The 20,029-nt window shown below is 48.5% G+C and overlaps 1 protein-coding gene and 1 long non-coding RNA gene across 11 annotated transcripts in view; one reads left to right on the top strand and one right to left on the bottom strand.

Annotated features, from left to right (window-relative positions):
* The window catches only part of LOC102723789 (uncharacterized), a 45,773-nt gene extending 45,592 nt beyond the window's left edge, over positions 1 to 181 (bottom strand). For both annotated transcript variants that reach the window (XR_001744112.1, XR_427924.5), the window contains exon 1: positions 107 to 181. This is a non-coding gene — a long non-coding RNA (uncharacterized LOC102723789). The remainder of the gene's footprint in view (positions 1 to 106) is intronic.
* The window catches only part of MOCS1 (molybdenum cofactor synthesis 1), a 30,293-nt gene continuing 10,551 nt past the window's right edge, over positions 288 to 20,029 (top strand). For 3 of the 9 annotated variants that reach the window (NM_001358529.2, NM_001358530.2, NM_001075098.4), the window contains exons 1-4: positions 288 to 455; positions 7,295 to 7,421; positions 8,905 to 9,072; positions 18,518 to 18,682. In NM_001358529.2, the coding sequence (NP_001345458.1) occupies positions 333 to 455; positions 7,295 to 7,421; positions 8,905 to 9,072; positions 18,518 to 18,682 (583 nt within the window). In that variant the 5' untranslated portion in view covers positions 288 to 332. Of the gene's footprint in view, positions 456 to 526; positions 725 to 7,033; positions 7,422 to 8,904; positions 9,073 to 18,517; positions 18,683 to 20,029 lie in introns of those variants that run through there. The other 6 variants (NR_033233.2, NM_001358531.2, NM_001358533.2 and 3 more) reach the window with 3 other exon arrangements.

The following is a 20,029-nucleotide window of genomic DNA, read 5'->3' as shown; positions in this document are numbered from 1 at the left end:
CTCATTCGTTTGGCCCTTGTCCTGTCCTGCCTACTGTCACACCACGACCTAAATCTGAGACTAGAGCAGCCAGAAAAACTGGAAGGAAAAGAACCCCGTTCCTTACCTGAGTTTACCCTTCTGCCCTAGAGCGCTACCCCGGCCCAGGAAAGTGGGCACAGGGAGCGTACTACAGCTCCCACAAGGCCACGCGGGACTGCGTCCTCGCCTATTGGCTGCGCGGGTCCCGCCCTCCCCCTGCCCCTCCCCGCCCTTGCTGGGATGACCCCGGGGGCGAGTGCCCGGCCAGTGTGCTCCCGAAGCGGGCTGCGGTTCCGCTCGTATCAGGCTTCATGGCGGCGCGGCCACTGTCCCGGATGCTGCGGCGGCTTCTGAGGTCCAGCGCCCGGAGCTGCAGCTCAGGGGCTCCGGTGACCCAGCCCTGCCCCGGGGAGTCCGCGCGAGCTGCCTCGGAGGTGAGCCCACCCCGCCTGCGTCCACAGCTTCCCGGGGCAGGAGTGGCCCCGGCACACTGCCCTTTTCCCCCAGTAGCTCCCGGCCTATCTGCTTGACCGCTTCTGGGAGGGACCCGTTGGCACTCCTCAGTGGAGCGATGTTCTCCAGATGGACCGCCCGGTCTCACCCGCTAGCCCAGCGGGAGAGGTTCCTGGGAGTCCCGCTTCAGAACCTCCCTGCCCCCCAGCCACGCCACCCCTTCTAGCCCTGAGCTTGGCCAGAAATTCGGGTAAGCAGAGGACTGGGACTTTGGGTCCAGTGAGGTGTCTTAGTACCTTTCAGCCTTGCCTTGCACCCACCCTCTTTCTTAAACATTTTCCCTCCCTATCCCAAGAGCTGAGAGATCAGGTGTCCCTGTGACACCTGCTTCATAGTGCGACTGACTAAACATGTCACCTCGGTGTCACCAACGATGAGTTGTTACTGTAGTCCCAGGGCTCTGTAACCCATCCTTTGCTGACTCTCCTTGTCTTTTTTATTAACCTTGGGAGGGTTCAGCCTTATCCTAGAGCAGAACAGGGCAGGACGTGGCTTCTTCCAGGTGAGAAATTAATTCCTCTGTCTTTAGGGTTTTGGGTAAGATCCCTCAGTCCTTGCCAGCACCCCTCAGAGTGTTTCAAGTCATTAAAAGTTTTAGGTTTTGGTTGTTCTTCTGCTCAGGTGGTTAGGGAATAATTTGGGGGGAAAAGTACCTCTTTTCATTTAGTGAAACCTCTTTTCGGTACCTATCTAGGCGTTTTTTTCCCCGTCTCCCAGAACTAGGCTTCCTGTCCTGGGATTCATAAGATCACTGCTCCCTCCTCCCCTATATTGCTCAATGACTTCCGCCAAATTTGCTTTCCCCAAATCTAAGCCCCTCTGGGATCCTCAGATAAGCAGGCCCATGGTTGGGAAGTGAAGACTTTTTAGTATCCTCAAACTCTGAACATCATTGAGGAAGAGATAGGAAAGCAAAGATGGCTGAGAGATCTTTAAAGAATTCAAGAAAAGGGACTTTTCTTCTCCAGCCCCCCACCCCCTAGTTTATTTTGTACTGGTCTTTCATGAGAGAACCTGTGTTGAGTGACTCACATGTGGAAGCATTTAGTCCTCACTAAGCCATGTGAGGTGAGTAGAGTTTGTATGTTCAGATGAGGGGGCTAATCTAAGTTAACTTTCCTCCAGTCGCAGAGCTGTAGAGGGCAGGAACTCAACTCTAATGCTTTTCCGTCCTCCCTGTGTGGAGGCCAGGGAGAGAGCCTGCTCCTATCCATCCCTTTACACTGTGAAGGGAGGGGTAATGTGGCAGAAAGGAGAACATAGACTCTGGGGCAGCCCCATCCCTTATTAGGGATTCACCAAGTCCCCTTACCTCTCAGTGTCTGTTTTCTCATCTGCAAAGTAAGAATAAAAGTGTCTACTTCATAGGATGTCACAGGGATTAAAAGAGTTAACGTATGTTAACGTATATACTTAGAACAAAGCTTAGCCCATGTAAGTGCTGTGTTATGTAAATGTTGGTGGTAATTACTATTATCCATGCTGCCACTGGCACATGCTCTGTCCTGTGAGTCCCCTCCCATCTGGACTTGTTGGATAGCTATTCTGTCAACTCACATTGAATCCTGGACATCTCATTAGGATTATCTTCAGCAGACTGGGAGTTCCTGAGGGCTGGGTGCACCTCCGCCTTTCTATCCCCACAAGCGCTTAACGCAGGGTTGTGCAGGCAGTGGATTCAGCCAATAATTGTAGCTGCTTGAAACTTAACTAGTGAGGAGTCACGTGGCATAGTAGACCACACTGGACAGGGAGTCCCATGTTTTCACCCGCCAGTTTCGCCTCCAATTTCACCTGGCTCCTGGGGCTGTCACTTCCCTTTGCTTCATGTTTATAAAATGAGAGGACTGGGCCAGCCCATCATAAGATGGGGGAGGGCACAGAAACTTGTCTTGAGGAGACTCTAAGGGGAGGTGAGTCTGGAAATGGATATGTTCTGCTCATCTCCAGAGCTTGCCAGTTGGGGTGGGGACACCTTGAACCCCTTCTTGCAGGGTCTGTCTCCCCCAACACGCCCACACAGGGCTCTGGTAGTCTGGTTTGGGATGGGAGGTGCTTGGAGAGCTAGGATGGAAAGCCACTGGGCATTGTTTGTGTGGCAGGATGAGGGTGTGAGGGAGAGAAGTGAGGTTAAGTGGGAGCTGGCTGTGAGGATTGCGGAAAGGGGGCTGTGGGCTGAGTCCAAGAACAGGTCGAGTAGCTTCTAGCTATGGAAAGGAGTAGTGTGTGGGTCAATGGGGAGGTGGGTGGGGGAGACACAGCAACCTGCCAGCCTGCATCTGGGGTGGCCCAGACAATCTTTGTAGGGTTCAGCCTAGCCTGGGAGTGCTGTATCCCTCTTTCTCCCTCTGAGGCTCCATGCAGGCTTTGTTGGGCAACAATGAAGCCTGCTGCCTGTGGCGGGGGAAGCAGGGAGGGTGAGTCTAGGCAAGGCAAAGGCACCCATCTGTTCAGGGGGCCAGAAAAAACAAATGCTGGCTAGGGGTTAGGCTGCAAGGAAGTGGGTGTGGGTGAAGGTAGAAGGAGTACAGCAGGCACTGGTGAGGGAGAATGAGGGGGAGGAGGGAAAGAGGGCTTTCAGGAGGTCATCTTGACTTCCAATCTGCCCAGCTCCTCAAAATCCATGTTTCAGCGAAATGTGACTGTCCTCCTCAGAAGCTATAGGTGTAAAGACCTCACACTTAGGGTGGGAATGAGGGGAGGGGGAAGGAGAATCGAGCTAGGCTAGGCTCTTTGTTGGGTCCTCTCATTTAAAAGAGATTAATTTTAAGAGACCCTTAGTATACATCATCCCAATAGCAGGGTAAATCAGGGCCACGATACTTAGATTTGGAATGTGCTTTTTTTCCTCTCGAATAACCCTGCTGCTCTGTTTAGACTTTGGAGCTATTTGAGGGCTAGCCTTTAGCAGTCAAATCAGATGCCTAAGATGAGTGACTAGTAGAGGAGGGCACCTTGAGGGCAGGGTCCCGCTTTAACTCTTTTGTCCCACCCTTCCCCACCCCCTTCACCCTAATCTGCATTGGGTAGACATGAGATGACCAGTAGTGTCTGGCAGGCTGCTTAGTGCCTGCTGATGCACACCAGTATTGGTGGTCCTGGGGATGCTCAGACCCCACTTGGGTGGTGTGGCAGCAGCTTTGAAACCCTGCCTCTGGCCATCTGCTGTTAGTAGGGTTGGAAGGCCAGGGTCTTGGAAGGGAAGGGAAGCTGACAAACTAGAAAAACTGATCACAGCACACAACAGTGTTCCTCCATGGATCACTGAATGAAAACCTCGGTGCCAGGAACTCCTCCAACTGAGTTAGGTTGGATTATTATTTCCACTGCATAGATGAGGAAACTAAGGTTTCGAGAATTTAGGTGACTTGCTCAACAGCTAGAGCCAGGCTTGTAATATAGGCTCACCTACTCCAAATCCTGTGCTCAGAACCACAACAACTTGCCCTGGATTAAAATAGCACCTGGCACTTGGTGTCACTAGGCCGATGGTTCTCAGCCCTGGCTGCACAGCTGAGGCACTAGATTGAGCTAGAATCTTTGGGACAGATTCTAGCTCCTTCTTGAAACTAGAATCCTTCTTGAAGCTCCTTGAGTGATTTTGATGGGCTGCCAGGGTTTCAAACCACTATACCAGGTTAAACCATTTTGACAGTAGAGACCAGCCGGGAAATGATTACCCCCATGTAACTGGCTTTTGCATATACGACCTTTCTGCTTACATTAGGGACAGGACTATTTGTTCATGTGATTCAAAATGTACCAACATCCTGTGCTAGACACTGGGGATACTGAATCAGGCAGAATGACTTCTCACGGAGAGGAAACAGCCCAGGCCAGCCTGGGACCCTGGGAATATGATCCGTTGAGTGCTTCCTACTACTTCTGGCATGTCCCAGCCCTCCTGAGCAAGCAGGGTTGCTGTCTACTCTGTCCTATAATTCCCTCTGAATCTTGGGCTCCTTTGACTGGTGCTGATATTTTTTTCCTCCAGGAGACTTAAGGGACAGGGAAAAAAGTAGAAGAATGAAAGTAGGGCATGCAGTGTTAGAGGAGAGAAGATGCAGGAATGGGGCTCGTTAATATCTGAGTAATGAGTTTGCATTGCTGGCAGGGTGAGAGTGTGTGTGTTTAGGAGGCTGGGTTCAGAACGGGTGGTGCAGTCTGCATAAGTCTAGACAAGGTCACAGAAGTTCTTAAAAGTGAAATCTGACCAGCCTCTCCCATTGCCAGAACAAAAGCACCAAATTCCATTTTTTTTTTTTTTTTTTTTTTTGAGAGAATCTCGCTCTGTTGCCCAGGCTGGAGTACAGTGGTGCGATCTTGGCTGACTGCCACATCTGCCTTCTGGGTTCAAGCGATTCTCTTGCCTCAGCCTCCCGAGTAGCTGGGATTACAGACTCGCGCCACCACAGCCAGCTAACTTTTGTATTTTTTAGTAGAGACGGGGTTTTGCCATGTTGCCCAGGCTAGTCTCACACTCCTGGCCTCAAATGATCTGCCCTCCTCGGCCTCCCAAAGTGCTGGGATTCCAGGCGTGAACCACCACACCCGGCCCCTAATTCCATTCTTGATTGCTCCATCACACTGCTTGCTCTCAGGTTTCTGCTGAATAATGCTCCTTGGTCCTCTCAACTTCCAATTCTTTGATGTATTTTGACTCCTCCCCCATCCAGCCACCCCATCCCCCCATCATGTCAAGACTGGGTTGAGGGGGGGTATCTTGGCAAGTGAAGAGGCAGAATCTAGGGTGACTAACATGACTGAATTGCAAATAGCTGTTGATGAAAAAGAGGGCACAGCACTGCAATACATCCAGATTCCCAGGTATCTCATCTGGACTCCGGTGGCTGATGGGATTCTTGATTATGGAGTGCTCCCCGCCCCAACCCTGAGGCTATCTGTGGAAAGGCAATGGGTTGAGTTTGAGTTTTCTCCATCATACCGCAGGGAGGGAGGAAGTGACTGTTGTGATTATAGCAGACGGCAGTTAGAGAAGTGACTGCTGCTTACTCCCCACAGGATGGTGAGCAGGGCTTCTCAGAGGAGGTGGGAAATTCTCCCGCGGTGGGTAGAGTGAGGAATGTTTTATGGGCCCAGAAAATCAAGAGCAGCTTCACACATACTCTCATGTCTCTTATCTTTGAGCCACTCAGTGGCTCTTGACCCAGTCAAGGGCTGCCGATGAGAATTACCTGGAGAGATTGAAAACGTAACAGATTCAGAGATCCAGATTTAGTTGGTCTCCACTGGAATGTTTTTTTAAAGTTCTCCAGATGGTTCTAATGTGCAGCTGGAGCTGAGGAACTTACTGAAGCAAATGCTTCTTCCTCCTAATTGTAGGCATAGTTGCGCTAGACCTTTGGAGGGCCTGAGACCTTCTGTTCTTCATCATAATTTTAAGTGTTCACCTACCATCTTCTGATACCACCACTACCACTCCACCCCTGTCTTTACTCCTAGCAAGACAACCTTAGCCTGTAGCTGTATTCTTATTTTACAACTGGGAAAGCAGGCCTGGAGAAGTTAAGGGACTTTCACAGTGTACCAGGTCATACCTACTGCAGAAACCAGGGTTTCTTATTCCCATTCCAGAACCTTGTCTGTAGATCTCATGCATGACTTCCAGGGTCGTGATTTTTTTGTCTGAAATATTCTAGAGAAGTGACTTCTACCCACCCTAGTTGTCATCCTCCCTATCTTCTTGGACTCTCTCTGTGATAGAAGGGAGTAATTTAGAACCTGGAATCAGGGTCGGGTGTGGTGGCTCATGCCTGTAATCCCAGCACTTTGGGGGGCCAAGGCAGGTGGATCACGAGGTCAGGAGATCGAGACCATCCTGGCTAACACAGCGAAACCCCGTCTCTACTAAAGATACAAAAAATTAGCCGGGTGCAGTGGCGGGTGCCTGTAGTCCCAGCTACTTGGGAGACTGAGGCAGGAGAATGGCATGAATCTGGGAGGTGGAGTTTGCAGTGAGCCAAGATCGCGCTACTGCACTCCAGCCTGGGCAAAAGAGCGAGACTCCATCTCAAAAAAAAAAAAAAAGAACCTGGAATCAGAAGACCTGGATTTGAATCCTGCTTCTGCCGAGGGTGTTCTTGGACCCCATCCAAGCCTTAGTTATAATAATCCCTTGTGGAGTGGGTGTGGGAATGAAACAGAACGTTCTTTGGAAACTTTAAGATGCTTGGTAAATGCTACTTCCTTGGAGCAATTATCTCATCAGCATCTGTCGGGACCCAGGTTGTACTCTCCAAGGACCGATAGGTCAGGGGGAGACGGATCAGACTAGATCAGACTTGTACATGGGAAAGAGTGAAGCCGGCTCCCTCCTTTCTCTCTGCAGGACGGGTTTGGGCCTTGCTTGTGGCCTTCAGCAGTCTCTTCTCATTTATGCCCGAGACCATGGGTGCACAATCCTTTTTTTGGCACTGGCTAGAGTGAAGAATAAGGGCTAATAGATTTCCCCACACCCTTGCCTCCACCTTGCTGCCCAGCCAGAAATCTTCCCAGTAGAGATCACCATCCGCCCCCGACCCCCAAGCTGAATACTTAAGGGGTGGGTCCTTCCCATCAAGCTGATTTCTCAACGAGAGGGACAATCCCAGCTTCCCCAACATTGCAGAGCCCAAACATGTGGAAGAGTTGGAAGCTCCGCACAGATGTCAGAGTAAGGGAGGGGGCAGGCGGTTCTCCTTGTGCCTCTTCCCAGCCCGGTAGCAGGGGCCCATGCTTCCTCCCTGGTCTGTCCTCGCAGGAGGTGTCCAGGCGGAGGCAGTTCCTGCGGGAGCATGCGGCCCCCTTCTCCGCCTTCCTCACAGACAGCTTCGGCCGGCAGCACAGCTACCTGCGGATCTCCCTCACAGAGAAGTGCAACCTCAGATGTGAGTCACCTTCCTGGGCCCTCTCTGGGCTGGTGTCCATCTGCTGAAGCAGCCCTTGAAATTTCCCTGTGCCTGGAAATCCTCCTGTGTCCTCCAGTTCTGCTTTCTAACTTCTTCACCTGCTACCCCTTGCTTACCAGGCCAGGTGGGCTTCAGGGGCAAGATAGGGGTCAAGGCTGAGTTGTATGATTATAGAAGCTGTGTCCTACTTGGAATTAGATTTGAAAACATAAATGCAGTTGGATTTAGAATTAAGATTGGATCCTGGACCTCTCATTCTTCAGGGGTCCTTCCTCCTGTTTCCCTGTAGTTCCCGAAGTCCAGGACATGGCCAGGGGTGGGGTGGTGGACATTATAAACATTTGAAGTAGACAGCCATGCCCATGCCAGCACTGCTGACTCTGGAGGTGCCCCAGTCCCGTGACAAATCAGCTGGGGCTAGGCTAATAACAAAGAGGCCTCATTTCATAATCCTCCCAAAGAGTGCTCTGGATCTGTAGCCACTGCTGGAGGGACTTCCAAAGTTGATCTTCCTTCCCCTCTGTTCCTTCCTTCTGCCTCTCCCCACTTTCCCCTCCCCTTCCCCCCTTCCCCCCCTTCTTTTCCTCCCCACTTTCTTTCACTATACCTCACGATAAGAAATAAAGTTACTTCATGGCCCAATAAATGCATGCATGTATGTTTAGTAACTTTTTAACCAAACAAGATGTACTATATGCTTTACATTCTGGTAGTCTTACTTATTCTCTTCAGTCTCAAAGGACTGGTTCTGGACCCAACTGAGTAATTTGCCTTCATGACTCTCTAACAGATCTTGACCCAAACCTTAATGAAACTGCACCACAGGAAGTGATGGTGGAGGATGGTGGCCCTTCCACAGCCTGCCGCTGCTCACCTCATTTACCCCATTCTGATACCTCACCATGAACAAGTAGTATCTCAGTTTTCCAACATATAAAATGGGTCTGATGATAACCTGAAATAGATAGAGTGGATTTGAGAATGCTTGTAGCTACAGAGGACGGCAGCTTTTGCCAGGCCAGAGAGTACCTCTCTCTCACCCCATGACACACAGAGAGAAAGCTACCTGTTTGCCATAGCCAGTGAAATGCAGGAGGATGGGTGACAATGCCAGGAGGAACGCCCCTGCCCAGGTGCCCTCAGCCCAGGAAGTCAGGCCAGGCTCTGCCCTCAGCCTACTTCATCTCTAACCCATGCCCTTGGCCTCCCACTGAGGGATGTTATGGCCAGATTGTGTGTGTTGGGCATAGGGAAAGGTGTTAACGTTTCAGAAATGAGAAAGGTGAGGCCTGGGGAGATGCTGGCCTGGGGTTTTTCCACCTCAGGTTTAGTGAGGTCTCCGCTCACATCCAGATGGGTTTGAGAAGCCTTTGGCCTGATGGAGAGTTGGGGAGTGGAGGCATCACGGGGCTGTGGCCGTGCCTCTTTCCTCCCTCCACATTCCCATTCATCCTTCCCTCAGGTCAGTACTGCATGCCCGAGGAGGGGGTCCCGCTGACCCCCAAAGCCAACCTGCTGACCACAGAGGAGATCCTGACCCTCGCCCGGCTCTTTGTGAAGGAAGGCATCGACAAGATCCGGCTCACAGGTGGAGAGCCGCTTATCCGGCCGGACGTGGTGGACATTGTGGGTGAGTTGGACGAAAGTCATCGCCACTTCTCCCAGCGCTGCCTCATCCGGCTGGACACTGATGCCGATGTTAACAGTGGCAGCTGACATTCATTTAGCACATGACACTCTCTTGGTCCTACAACACCTGCTGAGACAGGTGCTATTATTATTTCCATTTTTGATGAGAAAATGAGGCTTAGGTTGGATAACTTGCCCAAGGTCAGGAAGCTCGCAAATGCCAGACCTCAGTAGCTTGCTGTCACATTGAGACCAAGGTCCTCCAGGAGGCCCACGTGACCTGGCTCTTGCTGACCTCCAAAACCCTTGCAGGCTTCTCCACCTTTCCCCTCCTTCCCATTCACATGACCGGGCCTTGACATGTGCTGTTCCCTTTGCTAGGAGCTCAGGGCACTCTCCTCGACCTCATTCAGGTCTCTGTTCACATGTCATCTTCTCAGCAAGGCCTTCCTCAACCATCCTGTCTAAAGTGCGTCCTCATGTACTCACACCAGCCACTCTTTCCCAGAAATTGGCAAGTTATAGCAGCCAAATCTGGGCCGACATGTGTTTTTGTCTAACGTGCAAACTGAGTGTTGTTTGTTTGTTTGTTTGTTTTTGAGATAGAGTCTCGCTCTGTCACCTAGGCTAGAGTGCAGTGGCAGGATCTCGGCTCACTGCAACCTCCACCTCCCAGGTTCAAGTGACTCTCCTTCCTCAGCCTCCAGAGTAGCTGGGCTTACAGGCACACACCGCTATGCCTGGCTAATTTTTTGTGTTTTTAGCAGAGACGGGGTTTCACCATGTTGGCTAAGCTGGTCTCGAAACCCTGACCTCAAGTGATCCACACACCTCGGCCTCCCAAAGTGCTGAGATTACAGGCGTGAGCCACTGCATCCTGCCATGGTTTTTATGCTCCTAAATAATGGGGAAAAAAATAAAATAATAACATTTTCTACCACACGAAAATTATAAAATCCTATATGTTCAGTGTCTATTAATGGAGTTTTATTGGAATATAGCCATGCCCATTCATTTACATATTGCCCATGGCTGCTTTGGCAGAGTTGCATGGTGTTGACAAAGACTGTGTTGCAAAGCTGGCCAGCCAAGTAGAAAATATTTACTATCTGGACTTCCACAGAAAAAGTGTGGCAACCCCTGCCCTACTCACTTACCCTACTTTGTTTTGCTTCATAGCATTTATCTCATCCTGGCACTGTGTGTTTGGGTTGTGTGTTTGGTTTCTTTAATTGTCTGTCTCCTGCATTCGCTGGCGTGAAAGCTCTCAGGTTGCTGGAGCAGGTTTTGTTTTTGGCATCCAGTACCGTGCCTGACACGTGGTTGATGCTCCCTGAAATTCGCTGAATGAATGGAGACTGGGTCAGAGTAGTCTCTGCAGTACGGCATATTCCTATCTGAGTCTCCACTGTGCCTCTTACAAGAAGCGTACCTTGGGCAACTTTTAAAATCTGTTCTAAGCCTTGAGGCAGTGATAGTACCTACCTTATAAGGTTGACCTGAGGAGGGAATGAGAATGAAATGCCCAGCCTATGGCAAGTGCTCTGTAAAGGTAGCTCTAAAGGGCCTCTTGCCATGAGCTTCTAAACCCCAAGATCAGGAAAGAGACCTTTGCTCATGTAATTATAGGTGATGAAATCGGGGCTATGAGGTTCCATGTTCTTGATTGCTGCCCCGTCCAGCTGCTTTGGACAGGACCCCCCGCCCCTCAGCTCTCTAGCTCAGTAATTGTTCGCTGGAGTGCCCTCTTGCATGCCTCCTACTGTGCTGAGCACACGAAGATGAATGAGCACCAGCCCTGCTGTTGAGGACCTGTGGCCCACTGGAGGAAGCAGCTGCTGTATAAGGGGAGCCTAGGTGCTGTGAGAGTCCCAAGGAGGGGCCCAGGTCCCCCTGACAGCCCTCTTCTCCCTCCTGCCCCATGGCCAGCTCCCTTCAGCTCCTACTGGTCACTTGGCCTGGGAACCTCTGTCATCCTGTGCTGGCTGAGCTGGCCCAGGCAAGCTGACCCCATGTTCCAGGCAGCTCCTCAGGGCTAAAAGGCAGGCTGGCTGCCAGGAAAGGGCTGAACCTGCTGAACCAGCTGCTTGCCAGGCCCAGCCCCCTCATCCAGGCCACTTCCTCTCCCTGGCACCCGCGGGCATGGGCCGCCTTGTGCCAGGACCTGTGAGAGAGCAGAGGGGATGAGGATCACTCACTGGTCAGGGAGGTACAGGATGGCTGAGCACTGGTATGAGGACTCGGGGCTCTCCCGGGAAACCCCAGCATGCAGAGAGGGAAGAATGGGAGCCAGGAAAGTTGGTAGCTCTGTCCCCATTCTGCCACTCTCTGGCTGGGTGAACTTGTGCAGGTTCCTTCCCCACCGAGGGCCTCAGTTTCCTCAGCTGTGGATGAGCCACTTTAAGGATGTTTTCTGCTGTGATATTCTGTGGTTATTGGCCCTGGCTGATGGAATGGGATGGGCAAGGGGTGATCGCCACATGGATGCTAGTTAGGACAAGGCCCCGCTTGCAGTGACCTGCTTCTGAGGATTTACCTCCTGCCTCCCAGGTGGTGGGGGTGGGTGAAACACCTCCCCTTGCCCCTCTCCCAGTGCTTCAAAAAGAATGGTGGCTGCACCCCCTCACTTCCTGTGGCGCTGTGCCTGTGAGCACTCTGACATCCCTCAGGGGCTAGCCTCTGATCTTCCCCAGAGGAGCTGCTTCAGAGCAAAGCAGCCTTGAAGGGCAGGGCAGATGGGTGCTGGTGGAGGAAGGAGGGATGGGGGAAGAGAGAGAACAGAAGTCAGGGCCAGGATGTTCACGAACACTTGTGCCTACCCTCTCACGTGAGGGTTTTGAGGGGCCCCCACCTGGAGGCAGAGCAAAAGGATTGCAGGTTACAGTTTCTGCCGAGCCTGAGGTCCCGTTCACCTCAGGTCCATGTCTGAAGCTCTGTCAGCCTTTGAGAGGTGCTGCAGAACACCCCACGGGAAGGGTTTGGGCCCCTCAGCTCTCTCTGGCTCCCTCTGCCAACCCCTTGCCTCTCCAGCACTTCTGCACCCTGCTTCGTGTGCAGACAAAGTCCCATGCCCCTTCTTTTCAGCTGAGATGGGTTTAAAGCATTATCTTGGTGCAAAAGTTATGGCGGGTTTGGCCATGAATAGCATTGTCCCATAGAGCATGGGTGTCCTATCTTTTGGCTTCCCTGGGCCACAGTGGAAGAACTGTCTGAGGCCACACATAAAATACACGAACACTAACGATAGCTGATGAGCTAAAAATTTACCAAAAAATCTAATGTTTTTAGAAAATTTACAAATTTGTGTTGGGCCACATTCAAAGCCATCCTAGGCCATGTGCAGCCCCTAGGGCACAGGTTGGACAAGCTTGCCATAGAGCTTCCCAAGATGATGGAATGTTCTGCATCTGTGTTGTCTGATACAGTAGCCACTCATAGCTCTTGAGGGCCTGACATGTGGCTAATGTAACCGAGAAACTGAATTTGTATTTTATGATTTTTTCGTTCATTTAAGTAGCCTCATGTGGCCAGCAGCTGCTGTGTTGGACAGTGAAAGTTAGGGTCTTCCAAAGGAAGGAAGAGGAACTAAGCGCACAAGTACTGTGAGAGTGTTGGAGGAGTTTGCAGGGCCCTTGTTTTCCATCCTAACTTCCCGAACGACTGGCCACTGCCAGATGAGCTGGACTTAGCTTAAGAATTGCTCACTGGGGAACAGCAGACACTGGGACCTACTTGAGGGTGGAGGGTGGGAAAAGGGAGAGGATCAGAAAAAATAACTATTGAGTACTAGGCTTAGTACCTGGATGACGAAGTAATCTGTACAACAAACCCCCATGACACAAGTTAACCCATGTAACAAACCTGCACATGTACCCCTGAACGTAAAAAAAAGTTGAAAAAAAATCACTCATTGCGGCAGCTTCTTCCTTTCCTTTTTCTTTCCTTCCTTCTTTCCTTCCATTCCTCGCTCCCTCCATTCCTTCCTGCCTTTCTTGTAGAGTATAGCTTGATTTCACAGCTTAAAGCCCATGAGAGGCTTAATGTAATGGAAAGCCAATGACAGATTGTGAAAAGAGGTAAAGCATTTTGTTTTATTTTTGGTGGGCTCCAGTTGCATAGAATTAGGTTAAATCATAGTTAAATCATACTTGGTTCATGAGATATTCTCATCATTGATCCATGTATGACTTGCTTTACTTTATTCATGTTAATAATGTTAGTGGTTCCTAAGGAAACCCACTATACCACCAATGTTTTGGCAAAAAGTTTTTTTTTTTTTTTAGACGTAGTCTTGCTCTGTCGCCCAGGCTGGAGTGCAGTGGTGCGATCTGAGCTGACTGCAACCACTGCCTCCCAGGTTCACGCCATTCTCCCACCTCAGCCTCCCAAGTAGCTGGGACTACAGGCACCCGCCACCATGCCTGGCTAATTTTTTATATTTTTAGTAGAGGCGGGGTTTCACTGTGTTAGCCAGGATGATCTCGATCTCCTGACCTCATGATCCACCCGCCTCGGCCTCCCAAAGTGCTAGGATTACAGGCATGAGCCACTGCGCCCAGCCATTTGGCAATAACTTTTAACTACCTATGGGGCCTTCCCTATACTGTACCCTGCCCCCACCCCACTGCCACCTAAGGTAAGTGTTCCTCAGTTTTCTATTTATCGTTTTCTTGCTGCCCTGTCCCCCCCCCTTTTTTTTTTGGGAGACCGGATCTAGCTCTGTTGCCCGGGCTGGAGTGCAGTGGCACGACAGCTCACTGCAGCCTCAACCTCCTGGGTTCAAGCGATCCTCCCACCTCAGCCTCTAGAGTAGTTGGGACTACAGGCGCACACCACCACACCCAGCTAATTTTTGTATTTTTTGTAGAGACAGTGTTTTGCCATGTTACCCAGGCTGGTCTTGCACTCCTGGGCTCAAGTGATCCTCCTGCCCTGGCCTCCCAAAGTGCTGGGATTACAGGCATGAGCCACCACACCTGGCCTATTCCCTTGCTTTTTAAAAAGTAGATATAGCGTTTTGAAGTTTGTAAGTGTCATGCTGTGTGTAGTCTTTCAGGGCTTATTGTTTTTGACTCAAGTAAAATGCATAATGTTATACAGAGTTGTAGTTCTTTTTTCCTCTGTGGTCTACTGTTACATTATGTGAATGTACCCTATTTTCTCCTTTTAGTGAGCATTTGAATTGGTTCTAGCTTTTTTGTTGTGGACGGTGCCACTTTAAACACTGTTTTCATTAACATATCTTGGTATACAGTTTCTCTAGCGGTGGAATTGCTGGATCATAAAATAGGTGAATGTTTAACTCTGGAAAACAATGTGGCATTACTTAATAACATGGTTGTGCCAAATACACTTTCACCCGCCCTATGTAAGAGATCCTGCCAAATGACCTCCCAACACTCAGTATTATTCTTGATATTTGCCAGTTGAACAAGTGTAAAATTATATTTCATTGTGGTCTTAATTTGTATTTTCATGTTTAAGAATGAAGTTGGCATCTCTTCACATGTTAATTAGCTATACATATATATAAAATATATTTTACTGTGTAATTCCTGGTCATGTCTTTTGCCTATTTTTCTATTTGGTTCTTTGTCCTTTCGTACTTATTTGGTACAGGTTCTTTATATATGTTGTGAATATCTCCTCCCCATCTGAAAAAACAAGTTACACCATGTGTAATGATTGTTTTTGATCAGTAGCAGTTCTTGAATTTATCAGCGTTTTTTTCTTTTATGGTTAGTGTTTTCATATCTTGTTAATGAAACACCTAACCCCAGATCAGATCACCTACCTTCGTTCTTCACAAAAAATTTTAAATTTGCATATAGGTCCTTAGTTCATCTGTAGATGATTTTTGGGAATTCAATGTAATTTTTTTCCATATGGATAGCCATTTTTTTATAGTTCTTTATATTGAACAATCCTTACTTCCTCCATAAATCTGCCATTCTGAACTTGATCTGTTTCAAGTTCTACTTTGTTCTGTTGGTCCATTTGTTAGTCTCTGTGCCAGTATCAACTGTCTTAATCACTGTAGCTTCATCAGTCAATTATCTGGTAGGGCAAGTTCTTTTTATTCTTTTTCAACAGTGTTTTACATATACTAAGGCTTGACCATGTAAATTTTGAAATCAGCTTATCAGGTTTTTTTTTTTTTTGTTGCTGTTTTTTGTTTGTTTTTTGTTTTTGAGACAGAGTCTTACTCTGTCACCCAGGCTGGAGTGCAATGACACGATCTCGGCTCACTGCCACCTTTGCCTCCCGGGTTCAAGCGATTCTCCTGCTTTGGCTTCCCAAGCAGCTGGGATTACAGGCATATGCCACCACCACACCTGGCTGATTTTTGTATTTTTGGTAGAAACAGGGTTTTACTACGTTGGGCAGGCTGGTCTTGAACTCCTGACCTCAAGTGATCCACCTGCCTTGGCCTCCCAAAGTTCTGGGATTACAGCCATCAGCCACCGTGCCTGGCCTCCAGTTGACTTTTAAGCTAGTTCTTTGGGCAGTTGCCGCTGATTTCTTCAGTAAGGGGATAATCAGTGATGGTGCTGAGGTCTCAGTGGGCAAGGGAAAGAATACAACGTAACCTGCTTCATTTTCCTTTATCTACTCGCATTCTTTGCCCATATTCATCCCCTAACTCATACCATTTCACAACAACTAGCCTTCTTAAGGACTTAGATTGTTAAGTTCTTACATGCCTAGATTGTGTTTCTCCGGGGTTGATTTGGTAGAAGTGAACAACCACTGCTAATTTTCCTTATTGGTAGAGTCAGAGTGAAACTCTTTCCTTTTTCAAACAGCTCTTATTTGTAAACTTTATTATTTTTTTTTTTTACAAAAGTAATTTATGTTTATTTCAGAAAAGCAGAAAGAATGTCATTACTGCCTGTTTGTAACCACTGTTGACATTTTGGTTTGATGACCCACCTGCCATTTTTCCTCTGCATCTTGTGTTTACTGCATCTCTTGTTACTGTTCTCTCTACGTAATATAGTGCGTGCATTTCCCTACACCCTAATGTATGATTTTATAGAGTCATTTTGGGTTGCATAATGTTCCGTCATCCAGAGAAAACATAATTTAACCAGTTTGCTATTGTTGGCTCTCTAGATTATTTCCCACTTTCCTTAATTATGCATTACTCCGTGATGAACATCCTTGTAGGTAAATGTTATTCACATCCGTGATTATTTCCTTAAATTCTTAGTGGAATTTCAGGTCAAAGGCTTTAAAAATTCATGTACAACTTCTCTCCAGAAAGATTATATGATTTTATTCTTACACCATGATTGTGTGCATTCCCATGCACCCCTACCTTAAACTGATGATGAATTTTGTAACATTCTGCCTTTTCTAATATTTGGCTTCACTTGAGCACTTTACTCTTGGTTTCCTCTCTCTTGCAGCGCTGAGCTGGGTCTTCATAGAGACATACGTTTACATAGCTTCTTGGAAACAACTGGTCTGGTGGCTGGAAGGGTGTAGTCAGTGGCACTGTCCATGTAGCAAAGGTCAGCTAAAATTCAGGGGGAGGGGTGTGTATGTGTGTCACCCACATTATCAAAGAAAACGTGTTTGTTATAGAAAGAAATTTTACCTATAAATAAATACAAAAATCACCTATGATCCTATTGATCACAGATAACTACTGTGTACATTTTCATAGCTTATCTTTTCTCTAGATCTTCTTGGATTTGAATGTGAGCAGGTGTGTTTCTTCAGACTCATTCTTTTCATTCTTTGATCTTTTGTATCCAGCTCTTCAAGAATGCCTTTGCTGAATTTTCCAGTTTGCTCATTCATTCCTGTGTTCATTCTGCTTCTCAAGTTTTTTCTTCTTGTAACTATATATTGTTTAATTTTCAAGAGCCCTAATTAGGGTTTTTTCTTGGTTTATTTTCAAGATTGAATATTTATCCCAATAAGGATATTCCCTCTGCTTTTTAAAAGAATTATCTTCTGTTATCACTGTTCCTTCTCCTCCTCCTTTCATTCTTCTATTTGGGGAAGTAGTTATCTTTCTTTCATGCTTCTTCCTTAAATGTTTGTTGATTCTTGGCGGTGTACTCATCTTAGTGCCTGAGGTCTCTGTTGGCCTGCCCGGCAATGTTGTTTGTGTTGTGTTTCTGTTTGGGTTGCTCCAAGGTTGTGGAGAAGGGGTGTGAGGTACTGCTGAGTGTCACCAGGACTCAGGCCTTGCCCCCGAAATGGTTTGGCTGTGTCCCCACCCAAATCTCTTCTTGAATTGTAGTTCCCATAATCCCCACGTGTCATGGGAGGGACCCAGTAGGAGGTAATTTAATAATGGGGGTGGTTACCCTCATGCTGTTCTCATGATAGTGAGTTTTGACGAGATCTGATGATTTTTATAAGGGGCTTTTCCTGTTTTGCTCAACATTTCTTGCTGCTGCCATGTGAAGAAGGACGTGTTTGCTTCCTCTTCTGCCATGATTGTAAGTTTCCTGAGGCCTCCCTAACCATGCTGAACTGTGAGTCAATGAAACCTCTTTTCTTTATAAATTACCCAGTCTCAGGTATTTCTTTATTAGCAGCATGAGAAGGAACTAATACAGCCCCATGGCTGGCTTAAGTGTCTGCACTGGTGCTTTATCCTTGAGGCAAATGCTTCTGCTGCCTTCCCGTGCCGACAGGGAAGGATGAGGCCAACCTGTCCAGCTCCTTCAAATATAACTCCCCTCTTAGACAACCTCCCTGACATGTAGTAGGACCCCTCTGCTCCTGTACATGTGACTACTAAGCTGCGTGCACACTAGTCACTCCCTGTTTTTACAGAACCTTCTCCTGGGTGCACTTTGAGCTGTGGTCTCTATCCGTCTGGTCGGTTCCATCTGCTTTCTCTCTTTCAGTACTAATTTACCTTTCTGGGCTATCTACGGCATTCTTTCTTACCTTCCAATGCTATTATGGATTTTTAAAATCCTTCCATTATTTCTAGGGATATTTGGTAGAATGGAGCTGTCAAATAGCACTTAATTCAAACACTTTTGTTTCCATTATACAGAGTATCAAGACCTGTGTAGTACTTGGTTGTTAAGAGCAGAGTCCTGAGTCAAGTACACATGGATTTAAATGCCAGCTCTTCTTACTGTGTGAGATTAAGCAATTTTCATAATCTTTCAGAGCACCTCTTTCCTTACCTACTAAATGAGATAATTGTTATTGTGAGGCTTCAATGAGCTAATGTATGCAAAGCCCTCAGCAGAGCACCTAGCACAGAGCACTCAATGCTTAATCTTTTGGTTGTTTTTGTCAGTTTTGATTCTTAGCTTTCTTTTTAAGTTAGGCCTGGTTAATATAGGTCTGCAGAGAGCCTCTTTTCCATCCATCTTGTCTGGACAAAGAGTTTTGCCTTCCAGCCCTTTTCCCGGCCTCACCAAGAACAAGCAAGCAGTCTGACCCCCTTTCTGTTGTCCTTACAGCCCAGCTCCAGCGGCTGGAAGGGCTGAGAACCATAGGTGTTACCACCAATGGCATCAACCTGGCCCGGCTACTGCCCCAGCTTCAGAAGGCTGGTCTCAGTGCCATCAACATCAGCCTGGACACCCTGGTGCCTGCCAAGTTTGAGTTCATTGTCCGCAGGAAAGGTGAGCGGATGTGGATGGGGTGGGTGTCCCTCCCAGGGCCTGCACATAGCTGGGGAGGGCATGGCCATTGCTGAGCCAGGGGCCTGGTCACTTCCTCTTGGTGTCTGGGCTATCAGTAAGTCAAAGCACTTATTTCTCACCCCTCATCTTTGCCAAATGTATGTCAGGGACTTTGGGGGTCAGACGCTAATGACCTAGGGTGACCAACCTCCCCACCACCCCAGCCCCAGTTTGCCCAGGACTTGAGGGGGTTTTAGAATGAAGGACTTGAAGTTTTAAAACCAAGACAGTCTGTGGCAAACTGGGCCGAGTTGGTCATTCTACGATGAGCTCTGAAGAAACACGGGACAGCCCAGGGTGGAAGTAGCCACCCTGGGATGCCAGGGTCTGGGTGTATGCTGCCAGGAGGGGGTCCCCCAGCAGGCCCCCATGGTTATCCCTGTGCCCACCTGGGTATAAGCCCCTCCTATGCACCTCCTACTACAGGCACAGCCATACCCTCCACTCACCTGCCTCAGGAGGCCCAAGGTAGACAGGTGGAGCCAGCCTCGAGCTCTGGGTCACAGGAGACCAGTGCCTGGCTTCCCTTTGGCATGGACCTCATGTTGGGGCAAAGGCTCTTCAGGTTGGGATACCCTTTGATATTTGGGAGGGGGTACATGACTGAGGACTCTGGAGGATCAGAGGGGTGGCAGGGAGACCCAGATCTCCTTCCTCTTCCTTGGAAACAGCTTCAAGATCAGCCCCACCACCTTCTTTCCTTCCTTTTCTTAAACGGGGTGTGATGCCTTGCTTAATACCCTCCATGTGCTGAGGAAGCACTCATGGTGTCTCTTTCCTCTATGGAGGCCTGCTCCAGGTGCTGTGGAGGGGACAGAAGACACATAAGACATTGCCCTGTCCTTACAGGCTGCTAAGGGCCAAAAGATGTCATTCCATGGGACAGCCTTTGCTTGTCTTGTGGTACTGATTAAAGAGTTACAGAGAGGAAGAAAGAACTCTTAGCAGGAGAGAACTAGGAGGGCTTCAAGGAGGATGCATGCATGCTGGCCTTGAGGAACTGGAGGGTTTCAATCAATGGCACATACTCTGAGGGGGAGCAGGAGTACAGAACCTGCAAGGGCTCTACGGTGGGAAAGTGGGAGGTGGATCTGTGGGCTGTACTGCCCGCAAACACGTTCTCCCTTTTTGTCTCTTATTTCCTGGCACATGGATTGGAGACATCAGATCTTCCCTCCCATTCATACTCTTTTGTCCACCACCTGCCTTTGGAGGGGAGTGTTTTACAGAAAAGAAAACTTATAGTTCTAGGTTATCCTAGCAGCATTATTTTTTTCAAAGCTATAC

This window comes from Homo sapiens, chromosome 6 (assembly GCF_000001405.40).
Source record: "Homo sapiens chromosome 6, GRCh38.p14 Primary Assembly".
NCBI classification, from domain to species: domain Eukaryota; kingdom Metazoa; phylum Chordata; class Mammalia; order Primates; family Hominidae; genus Homo; species Homo sapiens.
The sequence above is the reverse complement of the archived record's forward strand: the minus strand, read 5'-3'. Positions and strand labels throughout refer to the sequence as shown.